Source organism: Homo sapiens, chromosome 8 (genome assembly GCF_000001405.40).
Source record: "Homo sapiens chromosome 8, GRCh38.p14 Primary Assembly".
NCBI lineage: Eukaryota > Metazoa > Chordata > Mammalia > Primates > Hominidae > Homo > Homo sapiens.
Genome location: NC_000008.11, coordinates 83,840,132 through 83,854,648, shown reverse-complemented (window position 1 = coordinate 83,854,648; position 14,517 = coordinate 83,840,132).

Genomic DNA, 14,517 nt, shown 5'->3' with positions numbered 1-14,517 from the left:
CCCACCCACAGTATATAGGTGTTCCCTTTTCTCTGCAGCCTCACCTAGGAAATACCACTACATATTTTTAAAATTGGGATTATTGGCTGAAATTTTGATTCAGAAACAGCTATACACCACAATACCCTTCTTTACTTCTCAGAGCAAAGCAACTTCCTTTAATCTATCCTACATGAATGAAAGAATGAATGAAAAGAATGTGTAATATCCATACAATTGAATATTATTCAGCAATAAAAAGTAAGGAAGTATTGGTGTATGCAGCAGCATGGATGAATATTGGAAACTAAGTGAAAGAAGACAATCACAAAAAGCCATATATTGTATATGTCCATTGATAAGAAATGTCCAGACTAGGCAAATGTATAGAGATAAAAAGGAGATTAGCATTTACCAAGGGCTGAAGGTGGAGGAGAATGGAAAGTATCTATTAATGAGTATGAGGTTTCTTTTGGGGGAAACAAAAAACTGTGTTAAATTTAGATTGTGCTGATGGATGCACAATTCTATGAACATGTTAAAAATGCCTTATGTCGTATGCTCTAGCTGGATGAATAATAATGTTATTTGAATTATATCTCACTAACTCCATTATTAGGAAAACACAACAAAATCCCTAAGTATTTGTTCTTTAGAGAAGATAAAGCAAAGGGTCTTTAAACTAAGACAAATCAGGTACAGTTGAGGGTGGAGAATCCTTGCTGAAAATAAGGGGATAAAGTGAATATTTACATACTGAAGTTCAATACTCTCCAGGCTTTTTACTTCACTTATTCTAGAATGTTGGCCTCCAGGTTTGCGACCTCCCTAGGTCTTCTCTGAGGACTGTGATCAACCCCAAAGGAAACACACACAGATGAGAACATCAGGGGTTCTTCAAACACTGATCAACCAGATTGCCCTGTACTAAAAACTAAAATGAACACCTTTCACCCTGCATGTTCAAAACTTTCCACTAGCTTCGTTATTAACACAATCTTAAACGTGAGTTGTGGGATACTCAAAACTAAGTGTCTCAAATAACTAATAAAAGCCCTGAAAAATATACAGAATAAAACAAATTAAACAAGACAAAGACCATGCAGGGTTAAAAAATGGAAAACTATCACTAATATATTTGAATAAATAAGAAAATATATTGCATCCCTAAACACAGAAATGCAGAGAAACAAAATAGCTTTTGGAAATTAAAAACCTAATAGAAATGACAAACTTATGAAAAGTATTGAACAAAAGTAGAGAAAATCTTCCAAAAACCTTCTAGGAATTAAAAGAAAACTGCAAATAGATAAAAAAGATATAGAAGAATTGAGATATTTAGAGAATCTACCAAGAGGTTCAGTATCTGAATAAAAGAAGCAGAGAAAATCATCACTAAAATAATTTGAGAAAATATTCTAGAAATCAAGGACAGGGAGGATAAGTACTTGTAGACAAGTAGTTACTTAGGTCAGTGATATGAAAATAAGAGGCTAGAGTAGATAGGCTGATACTCAAAAGTCATATTTTAGGCAGGCTGTGAGCATGGGCAATGGGTTCTGAGTATGAGAGAGAGGGTTAGGAATTTGGTGGATGATGGAAGACAGTGAGGGATAATGTTCTTGAAGAAGCACTAGAAGGTCAGCGAATCTTAATGCAGTTGCACCAAGTCAAGCCACAATCAGAAAAAAAAGGAGAATGTGAAAAAAATTAAAGCAAAACAAAACAAAGAAATAGCCTTCATTTAAGATTGTAGTGGAAGCAGTGTCGTCAGGTGACAGCCAAGTTTTTCTATAAGGCAAAGAGATGAAGGGAGCTCTTGGGGCACATTAGAAATACTTCACTGGAAGGAAAGAAGGTGAAGGATTGGTTGCGATTAGGGGATTGGCCAAACATCACAGAAAAATAATTAATGATTTTATGAGTTTGGAACTTCTAGTAGCAATTGAAGTCAACTAAGCTCTGAGCTCTAATTTTGATAGTTTCTTAGAGAGGAATGAGCAAACAATTCTACTGGTGATACACAAAGTGTCCTTCAGTGATTTACAGGGTAGCTAATTACTGAAATTTTGCATGATTCAATTACACTGATAGGGCAACTATGCCCCAGGGCATTATGTGTAATTATGACCATATATGGGAAAACATAAGTCTACTAATTCTGTGTTTTATCATTTTCTTACCACAACCTTCTTTTCCTCTATGTTACTAATTCTGTATTTGGAATATTTATTTCTAGCTATGTATTTTCTTATTGTATGACAAGAGTTTCAGTGTAATATTATGCCAATGATAAGAATTCAGAAAATTACTTTTGAAAAGATGACTCAGAGAGAGAGATCATATTTGGCAAGATTTCAAAACTGTATCTAGAATCATAGACCTAGATGGAACTTTGTGGTGTCCTGTATTCCGAATTTTTAAATAGACATTTTCTTAATCCTTAAAATCATCTAAATATTGTTTGGGAGGATGGGAATAATCTCTTGGAAGAAGTAGATGAAGAATAGAGGAAAATAAATAAGGAGACTTTTCTACTAGCCCAGTCAAAGATGAATACACAAAATCATGACGTTATTTTATAATCCATGAAGATGCAGCCAATAATGGGGATGAGATAAAAGATAGGAAAGGGATAATTGTTTGGAGTCAGAACTTGAATATTTACTCCAATAAAAACACTAACTCAGGCCAGGCACGGTGGCTCACGCCTATAATACCAGCACTTTGGGAGGCCAGGGCAGGCGGATCACGTGAGGTCAGCACTTCAAGACCAGCTGGCCAACATGGTGAAATTCCGTCTCTATTAAAAATACAAAAATTAGCCGGGTATGGTGGCAGGCACCTGTAATCCCAGCTACTCGGGAGGCTGAGGCAGGAGAACCACTTGAATCTGTGAGGTGGAGGTTGCAGTGAGCCGAGATTGCGCCATTGCACTCCAGCCTGAGCGACAAGAGTAAAACTCCATCTCAAAAAAAAAATCAAAACCAAAAGCAAACAAAAAATACCAACTGAAATATCCTAGATTATTAGCCTGCTAGCCAAGGGACTGTAAATTTTTATTTGAAAAATCTTTCAAATTGTATTGAAAAATTACGGAGCAATAGTATATTCATTTAATAAATATTTTGAACTTAGGACATTTTATTATTAAATCATTACACATGACTACATTATTTCCCAGCAGAAAATTTCCTTAAAAAATATGCGTCTTAGCTATCTTAAAGCTCCTTAAATTCAGTGTATTTAAATATATTTACAAATAATTTGTTAAAGATATTTATTGAATATGTATTGTGTTCGACAGTGGTTATAGAAAGCTAGAGAAATGCTCTGACTGGCCGGGCACGGTGGCTCACGCCTGTAATCCCAATGCTTTGGGAGGCTGAGGCTGGTGGATCACGAGATCAGGAGTTTGAGACCAGCCTGGCCAACATGGTGAAACCCCATCTCTACTAAAAATACAAAAAATTAGCCAGGCGTGGTGACAGGCACCTGTAATCCCAGGCACTAGGGAGGCTGAGGCAGGAGAATGGCTTGAACCCAGGAGGTAGAAATTGCAGTGAGCAGAGATGGCACCATTGCACTCCAGCCTGGGCAACACAGTGAGGCCCCATCACACACACACACACACACACACACACACACACACACACACACACACAAAAGAGAGATAGATGCTCTGATCTCATGTATCTTACATCTGATACTGTAATATATGTTGTCTGGGGCTTTAAAAAATGTGGAAGAACCAGGCTTACTTTGAAGGTCCAATTTCTGTAATTTATTTATTTTTTTCTAATTTTGCCTTGATTTTTCATTAGGCTAACATTTGAGCCAAATTTTATTGTCTGAATGGTTAAAATTTGATTTTTTTTCATTTAAACAGCATTTTGCCTTGGAGCAACCTGTGCATTTGATTTCATATAATTGCGGCAATTAACCAAGAGCTAATAAATCACAATACTTCTTAGGCAACCCATTGCCATGTTCATAAAGTAGAAGGGAAAAGCAAGTTATATTTGTGTTTAAAATATTCAGGACAACAAAGTACAAAGTTATTAGTCTGATGATTTGAGGAAAAGGATTATGCATGCAAAGAACAACATTTGTTGTGTCTAAAATATATACTACTGAATTTTAGGATCTTGAAAATGTGTACGTAGCATGTCTCTTTTTCGTAATGAATTTTGTAATCATCAAATTTTTAAAAAAACTTTAAAAATAGAGAATAGCATAGAAAGAAATCAAAAGTTATCTGTGATTCTTCAAACCTGGGATAGTCATTGAATGTGTATTTCTACTTTTGTTGAGCATTTTTTTGGTAAATATATATGTGAATATATTTATATAAAAGTGAACTTGTGGCACATTTAGTTTTGTAACTTGCAGTTTCAAGTTAGAATTTTATACCCTATTTTCTCAAATCATTAAGAATTATTATAAGATATATTTTTAAATACTGCATAATATTCCATTTTATAGCCATTCCATGAGTCACTGTTATAAGGGATATACCTAATGTGGTTATCACAGACATATTCACAATATTATGCAAAATTTATTCTCACCCTTTAGATTCAAAGATGACATCATATACCATATTTCTTGTGTGAATATTTGTAACAGATGGTCACAGTAGATTGTGCATATGTTCCTGTTGTAGTCTGTTCAATCATTAATTACATAATCTAAAACTGACTATGTTTTGAGTATGAGTGCCTAATGCCTGTTAGGTGCACAGATAATAAATTTATCTCTGATCCACTTTTGATCATTCTTTTAATTATGAGTTATACATATATGTTCACTCAGTATTATTATTTTAGCTAACCATTTTATTAAGTGACCATCTATTCTAGTTAGGGCAGAATGTTAGCTTTGGAAGATGGAAAGAGTAATAATTTATTTAATTCTCTCCAGGAAGATCCCAAACACTTAATCATAGCACAGTGAGCAGAAGAAACAGTGAGAGCCTGTGGATCTATGGAGAGTCCTGAGTTGACATCTCCACAGAGTCTCTTACCACCCTTTAATGCTGAGCATTTCACTTAATGTCTTTAAACTTAGTTTCTTGTATTATAAAATTCATATACTTACAGGTAGCTTGGTAGAAAGCACTATAAACAACCATCATAATTCCTTTATAACACTGGCTGACACATAAAAGGTGTGCCACGAATGGTGATAATTATAATTAGTATAATTAGGATCTACAGGGATTAGGACAACTTTCAGAAACTCAACATCAGATCAGTTACAGATGAGAGACCATATGAGGATACCATAGAAAGACAAATGGTTCTCTGTAAGGTCTGTAATGAAATCTGTGACTGTAATTTTATAGCAATATCCCTCTTCTTCTAAATCTCACTCAACAGCAAATCAAGAACCAGACAATTTTAATTATATGGGCCCCATGAAAGGTAATAAATGGCTGTTCATAAACACTCCCAGTGATTTTCATGAGCTAAAGATAAATCTTTGGACATGGACTTCTGCTTTTTTGGGTGGTGCTTACAGATGGGCAGTTGATTATGATGCATTAGTCAGCAAAGGTTAATAGTTTTCAAGGGAAGCTTTGGGCCTCCCTTATAGGATAATGAAATCCACTGGAGTGGCTCAGAGCAGCATGTTGCAGAAAGATGTATCACTCCCACTTATGATAGAACATATCTGTCTAGTATTACTAAATATAAATGGATTTCTATTTACAGTAACTATGGAGTTCCTTTACTGAACTTTTCTGTAAAATTAGGAAGAAGAATGATTAAACAAAGGTTTTCTACATTCTTACTAAAATGTTAATAATTGATGAATTTGTGCAGTGAGCTTTTACTTCTAAAGCCACTTTATAATATCTAAAATATAAATGAATACTTAATTTTTTGTTCCAACTCAGTAAACTTAGGCATACATAAATATTTTTAAAAAGAAATCATGAAGTTTTCAGCTTTCGTTAATTAAAATACCATTAGTTTCTAGTTAATTAAAACAGCATAACATAGTAGCAAGTGATAGCTCAGATAATGGAACACCAAAGCAACAACCTTCCTTCCTTTTTCTTGTTATGGTCTGTGTATGATAAAGTTAATGTTTATCTCTAATTCCAGAGCAACACTGCTAGCTCCAGTAGCAAGAGGAAACTAAAAAAGCTCAATGTTTTCTTCAAACTAATTACACTTTTAACCAAGCAATCCCTTGGGGTACTAGAGAAAGAAGCAGCTAATGTTTTGCTATAGAATGCCTGAGCATTTTCATTTGTGTGTGTGTGTATAAATATATATGGTGTGTGTGTGTACATATATACACACACACACACATTTTGTTCATATATAACTTAAAAGAAAAGCTTGAACATATGAGTGTGACTTTTTCTTTTGAACCACTGAGGTCTAATTTATTATTAGTTGCATGCAAGTTGACTGATACAAACCTTTGCACAAGGTGTGAAGACAGGCATCTCTCATGTACATTAATGCTTTTAATTATATTGCAACAAATTTCAAATGTACTTTAATGTACGAAACATTCCAAAGACCTAAAATATTGTAAAACGATTGTTTTGTTATAAAGATTCATACTTAATTCATACTTAAGCCACCAGTAACTTTTCACTAAAAATTCTTCCAAGATGATTAATATTAAAATCTTGGCCGGGTGCGGTGGCTTACGCCTGTAGTCCCAGCACTTTGGGAGGCCGAGGCGGGTGGATCACAAGGTCAGGAGATCGAGACCATCCTGGCTAACATGGTGAAACTCCGTCTCTAGTAAAAGAAATACAAAAAATTAGCCAGGAGTGGTGACGGGCACCTGTAGTCCCAGCTACTTGGGAGGCTGAGGCAGGATGATGGCCTGAACCTGGGAGGTGGAGCTTGCAGTGAGCGGAGATTGCGCCACTGCACTTCAGCCTGGGCAACAGAGCGAGACTGTGTCTCAAAAAAAAAAAAAAAAAAAAGCAAAGAAATCTTAAGATATTAATAGCTTCAAAATTTTATTGAAATATTTTAATTCATAACTCATTTATTCATCTGTACCTTAAATACTTAGGGTACATATGTGTCAGTCATTTTCTAAGTGATGAAAATCAAGATAGATATCATTTATTTGGAATCTACTATTTTAAAATAGTTCATCCATTGTTAATACATTAGTGGCAATAAGTAAAGTAGTTAACATAAGGGTTCTTAAACCAAACTAACGAGTTTGAATACAGGCTTCCCCTTGCTAGCTATGTAATCTTGTTTCTCGCCTCTCCGTACTTCACTTTTCTCATCTATACATTCAAGAAAAATGCCACCTATCTCCATTGTTTTTCTATATAAATGGAAATACTAGAACTTCCTTCCAGGTTTTTTGGAAATCTAGGTGTGTTACTAGTGTATGTGAGAGTTCTATAGGAGGAATGAAATAGTCTTATATCCTTTTTGTCACTCCAAATTCTTAATGCTATTTATTTATTTACTTTTTAATTTTCAACTTTCACCCATCATCTCACAACATATCGAGTACTCTGCTATCCTTCTGTTAATGCTTTTCTTTCTTCTACAAAATTTTCTAAGGTTTTTGGAAAAAAACCCCAAAAAACAAAAAACAAAGGTTGGTTTTGAAATGTAGAATGCACATAACCAAGACAATAATAGGAAATGACTTAAAAGTATATATTAGACATAATGATTTTGTAGGTTTCCTGACCACTTTCTGGTGAACTATTGTAGGATCCCTGTGTGTCGTTTTAAAAATTAATCTCTTCCGCCTAAAACCTATCTCCCAGTTTTCTTGTCTTTTCTATGATACACTCTATCATGCTTTTCCCTAATAGTCACACAAAAATATCTCAAAGGAAATCAACACATTTTAACAAGAATTTTATACGAAGTTGGAAATACAATCTAGGAGCTTGTTGAATAAGATGTGCACAAATTCTAATTGGGTGACTATGAATTTTTATAAAGTGAAAGAAACAGTTTAATATGCACCCAGATCAAGAAACTCAACATAATCAGAGACCCGGAAGCTCTACAAACTCTTTTGTGACATGCCCTTGTCACCCTACCTTTAACCCTCCTTCGGCACTAAGGTTAACTATCATCTTAACTTTCAACATCAAACAGTAGTTTTGTCTGGTTTTGCATTACCTACTTTAACTCCATCAAGAATACTTAAGTGTAAACAAAGCCACCTTCCTTCCCACACTCTTATGAACTGATAAAGAAAAATGAAAATTAATTCTCATTGGAAAGCTATCGGGATACTTCTTAAAAAACAGATTCACTGATAGAAATATTGTTTCGAAATAGAAAAACAAAAAACATTTTTTGATGGAGTTGTTTGTTTTTCTCTTGTAAATTTGTTTGAGTTCATTGTAGATTCTGGATATCAGCCCTTATGTCAGATGAATAGGTTGCGAAAATTTTCTCCCATTTTGTAGGTTGCCTGTTCACTCTGATGGTAGTTTCTTTTGCTGTGCAGAAGCTCTTCAGTTTAATTAGATCCCATTTGTCAATTTTGGCTTTTGTTGCCATTGTTTTTGGTGTTTTAGACATGAAGTCCTTGCCCATGCCTATGTCCTGAATGGTAATGCCTAGGTTTTCTTCTAGGGTTTTTATGGTTTTAGGTCTAACGTTTGTCTTTAATCCATCTTGAATTGATTTTTTATAAGGTGTAAGGAAGGGATCCAGTTTCAGCTTTCTACATATGGCTAGCCAGTTTTCCCAGCACCATTTATTAAATAGGGAATCCTTTCCCCATTGCAGAGAAATGCAAATCAAAACCACAATGAGATACCATCTCACACCAGTTAGAATGACAATCATTAAAAAGTCAGGAAACAACACGTGCTGGAGAGGATGTGGAGAAATAGGAACACTTTTACAGTGTTGGTGGGACTGTAAACTAGTTCAACCATTGTGGAAGTCAGTGTGGCGATTCCTCAGGGATCTAGAACTAGAAATACCATTTGACCCAGCCATCTCATTACTGGGTATATACCCAAAGGACTATAAATCATGCTGCTATAAAGACACATGCACATGTATGTTTATTGCGGCATTATTCACAATAGCAAAGACTTGGAACAAACCCAAATGTCCAACAACGATAGACTGGATTAAGAAAATGTGGCACATATACACCATGGAATACTATGCAGCCATAAAAAAGGATGAGTTCATGTCCTTTGTAGGGACGTGGATGAAATTGGAAATCATCATTCTCAGTAAACTATTGCAAGAACAAAAAACCAAACACCGCATATTCTCACTCATAGGTGGGAATTGAACAATGAGAACACATGGACACAGGAAGGGGAACATCACACTCTGGGGACTGTTGTGGGGTGGGGGGAGGGGGGAGGGATAGCATTGGGAGATATACCTAATGCTAGATGACAAGTTAGTGGGTGCAGCACACCAGCATGCCACAGGTATACATATGTAACTAACCTGAACATTGTGCACATGTACCCTAAAACTTAAAGTATAATAATAAATAAATAAATAAATAAATAAATAAATAAAAACAAAAAACAAACGTGTTTTTGAACCTGACTTCATTTCTTGCTAACACTGGAATTCTGAGCAGTTTATTTAATGTCTCTGATTCACAATTACCTCCATCTTAATGAAATTGTTGTAAAGATTGAGTAGGATGTGGAAGAGCTTACTAAACTATAAAGTGCTATAAAAATGTAAGATATTAGCAGCAGCAGCAGTAGTTTTGCAAAAAAAGAAAATTGAGAGACGACTTTGGGCAAGGCTGGTCAGTATAGGATGTGTTCCAGAAATGGCAAGTACCGTATACAGATGAGATTGCAGTTATAGTGTCAGGTACATGGTGGAGAGATTAATTATGGGCCATTAAATTAAAAATATAGTTTGGACATATGTTGAACCTATCTCTATTAATACTCAGTATCACCTAAACATATTTTTTAAAGTTACTTATTATTTAAAGTTATTGCTTTTTTGGTAGCAATTGAGACTATGTTTTAGAAATTTAGGTATGGTGAACTTTTTTTAATAAATTTGAAACAAAAACATAATTTTAGTTCAGCATCTGAACTTCAGAATGTGAAGGGTAGTATAACTTGTATTACTGGGAAGAGAAACCTCTGGACTGATTTCTTCTCCTTAAAGATCCTGTTGTGGGGCTGGGCGCGGTGGCTCAAGCCTGTAATCCCAGCACTTTGGGAGACCCAGGAGGGCAGATCACCTGAGGTCAGGAGTTCGAGACCAGCCTGGCCAATATGGTGAAACCCCTTCTCTACTAAAACTACAAAAATTAGCCAGGCATTGTGGCAGGCACCTGTAATCCCAGCTACTCGGGTGGCTGAGGCAGGAGAATCGCTTGAACCCAGGAGGCAGAGGTTCCAGTGAGCCAAGATTGTGCCATTGCATTCTGGCCTGGGGAACAAGAATGATATTTCATCTCAAAAAACAGAAAACAAACAAACAAAAAAGATCCTGGTGTGAACGAGAAAAGAAAAAAGTACTTCTTTGGCCACTGAAAAATATTACTTGGTGATCAAAAGGTAAAATTTAATTATCTAAGACCATGGGTTTAATTCTCATGTCTGCATAGGAATCACTTGAGTGGTTTGTTAAAATGCAGGTTCTGAAAACTACCTTTGGAGATTCCAGTTCATTATGTCCCTGAGTGGGCCCAAGTGATCCTGATAAATGTGCTCCAGGAACAACATTTTAACCATCACTGAATGACAGAATCAAATATTCTGATTCTCATTTTAGGGGACAAAGAAACTGAAAAATATCCAACTCTTAGGCACAAGCAGGTCAGGAGGGAGGACAAATACTGAAGCACAGTAGAGCTTAGGAAAGAAAAGAAGGGTGGAAATATGAGTATTCAAGTGAACCAGGCAAGAAAAGATGCAGAACCCCAGAAGAGCAGTAAAAGTCACATGAGGATCACATAAGACAGAGAAAGTGTGCACATGAGAGATGCTTCAGAAGAGTACAATTCAAGAAGTTTAAGAAAGTGATCATTCAGAAGACTGTAGAGGCGGCTAATCTTTAGTACTATGTATTAGCCTGTTTTCACTCTGCGCTGATAAAGACTTCCCAAGACTGGGAATAAAAAGAGGTTTAATTGGACTTACAGTTCCTCATGGCTGGGGAGGTCTCAGAATCATGGCGGGAGGAGAAAGGCACTGCTTACATGGCAGTGGCAAGAGAAAATGAGGAAAAAGCAAAAGCAGAAACCTCTAATAAACCCATCAGATCTCATAAGACTTATTCACTATCACGAGAATAGCATGGGAAAGACCAGCCCGCATGATTCAATTACCTCCCCCTTGGTCCCTGCCACAATACATGGGAATTCTGGGAGATGCAACTCAAGTTGAGATTTGGTGGGGACACAGCCAAACCATATCATACTGTGACTTATGACACTTGATAAATGTGAAAGAAATCTATCAGTTCTGTTATTTAGACACAATAAAATAATAGAAGAATAACATGCAGTTCCAAGACACAGCATCACCCATTCAGGGCTAGAGAATGTGCACTAACACTGAGGCTGACTTAGGTTTTGTGGGTCTAAAGTGTATTCAGTAACAAAAGAAACGAAACAAGAATGCAAAATTATGGATTCTAATGCATTTTTCTTTAGAAGGATAATATAAATTACATAAATTTTAAAAAGCTGACATTCACAACATTTAGAATAGTAACATAAAATAACTATAGCAATTGACTGGCACATGTCTACAATATTCTCCTTAATTTGTTTTGGCTGCATACTCTTGGGTCTCTTTGTAATTTGGCAGTTGTCTAATACTGCTTTTTTTCTTTCTTTCTTTGAGACAGGATCTTGCTCAGTCTCCCAGGGTGGAGTGCAGTGGTGCAATCCCAGCTCAGTCACTGCAGCCTTGACCTCCCAGAATCAAGCAGTCCTCCTGCCTCAGCCTCCAGAATAGCTGGGACTATAGGCTCATGTCACCATGCCTGGCTAATTATTTTATTTTTATTTTTTGTAGAGACGGGGTCTCACTGTCTTCCCAGGCTGATCTCAAACTCCTGGCCTCAAGAAATCCTCACACCTCAGCTTCCCAAAGTGCTGGGATTACAGGTGTGAACCACCACATGTGGCCTAATATTGCTTATTAAAAGAATAGAAAGATAATAAGTTCTGGTCTGTAGCATTAGTTATTGAATTGTTACAAGTTGTTATTATTACTATTGAGAGTTTTGAAAAGTTTATTTCGGCTTCACAGTTCTATATCCACGATGCTGCATCTGTACCTTTCTTGGCAGTTCCTTGCTTGGGTGAATCTCTTGCTGGGAGAAGTCCTCAGAAAATTCAGGCCGTTGTTTTTTCTTGGGCCCTGACACTTGCTGCTTCTTGCAGTTCCATCTCTGCATGATCCTTTTTGCTGCTACATTTTCAGAGTTTGCGGAGAGGCTGAGCGTCGGCTGAGATGGCCATGAAACTATACCTACAAAATGTAGAGAGCAGAGTGAGGTCTGCAGTCTGCTTTTCCTGGGGCTTTTTGATGCTCATTTAAGTTTATGAGGGACAGGTTGTCACTGGCTGTGTGTGGATTCCAGCCTACAACCTGGAGACGACCACTGGGACAGGGAAGGCCCTAGGCTGGGACAACGACTATGTCCTTTGTATTCTTGGAGAACAACTCTCTATCCTGAGGTGTTACGCGTTTGCTAATGAAAATATGGTTTTAGCACTGGTTTGAATTCCTAACATAGTAATTGGTATGTCATGCATTTCCAAACCTCAATAGTCCCCAGAGATCATCTAATGTTTGGATTCATGTTCAGACAAGGAAGGGATATCAATGATTGGGTTATTCTGAAGCACTACATACCTTGCAGAAAACAGTGTTTGAATTACCGTCATAGGCACAGAGGCCTTATAGGCATATAGGCACCAGTGCCCTTTTGGTCCTGATACAAATGAAATTTGCATGATTGTTTCCAAACATCAATTAGCTAAGGCTCATGGGATAAAAACCTATTTATCATTACCATATCAAAGTCTAAACATAAAAATATACTTGTAGCCATCAAAAGATTATATAATTTGCTTCAAATTAGAACCAGACATAACTAAACTATTATTTTGAATGGTGTGTATCATGCCCTTCCCCAATTTTTATAGTTAGCTGACAAATAAAATGACATAATTAAATATCTTACAATTGTGCTGTATTACATTATATTTTCTGAGAACTTTTAGAAAGTTGTTCCTCAACTTAGTGTTCTAAATTGTGGGTTATCATAATCACCACTGATAATTTGTTCCATTGATTGAACCACTTAAGGGATTCTGCCAGTCAAATGATGAGCACTTTTTAGGGGATAATCTATGGAATAATTGAAGTGTTTAGAAAAACTGACTGTGAGTAATAATTCTATTGTATTTGACTGACAGAAGAAACGCCTCATGATTATTTAGTGCAGGATCTAAAGCAATGCTTATCATTAATCTGATTTTTCCATCCTAGCTAAAGTCAAAACAAAATCATATTGTTGGAAGAATGCAGAATACAGAAAGCAAGCTTGGGTTTTTGTAAGGTATACTGTTGTTAAAGAACAAAATATAATATTCTGATGTCCTAGATATTGTGGTGTTGGTAGTATTCATGTCTAGTGTGGTGACTGGACACTTGACCAGTGGTCTCACCAAAGAGTATTTTGTGTGTGTGTGTGTGCACATGCGCATGTGCATGTAAAGAGATACAGTGGGAACTGGAATTGGGTGAGTTCATGTAAAACATGGTCGCAATCTCCATCAGTGTCTCCTTCCCCTACCCAAAGCCACCTTTGAATATCCATATTTATTAAAAGTAAACATGCAGTTTAATTAAAATTCATGTACATGCCATGTAGATTCAGGATTAAGATAAATCATAGAGCCCTGACTTTCAGCTATATTCCAACTAGATTTTCTCCACTAAGTGTCTCCTGTATAAGTATTCTTGTGTGGCATCCATACTTGATAGAACTGTGAGTGGGCAGAAGGAAAGAATGGCAGGCTAGTACAGAATAGCTGTATTATGCAGCTAGTGGACTCTTGTACATTACTGATTAGATCTCATGTGATACATTGCACTGAGTGTCTTCTTCATGTGCCTATGGCATCATATCAATGTTCTGCAGGCTGTTCAATGAGAAAAGAGGTGAACCACACAGTCAGGTATAATGGATTAGACTGGAGTAAACAAGAAATACAATCTTACAATTCCAGTTTTCAAGGGTTGTGTTGAGTGGATGGGCAAGAGCCTAGACTGAGGTCTCTTTTCTGTACAGACATGCACACAGACAGACAGTCAGACACACACACACACACACACACACACACACATATAACCCCACTGAGTTTTAGGAATTTCTTGGATTCCTTCTAGTAAAATTAAATCTAGTCAAAGTATTGGATTTGTGTTATATATTCAAACTTTAAACATAGTATTTCCTGGGGATACTAAGATTTATTCTGAGGTATACGGGTAGCAACTAATTGGTAAAACTTAGCATCCAAGTGTTGAAATTCTCCTCCCTG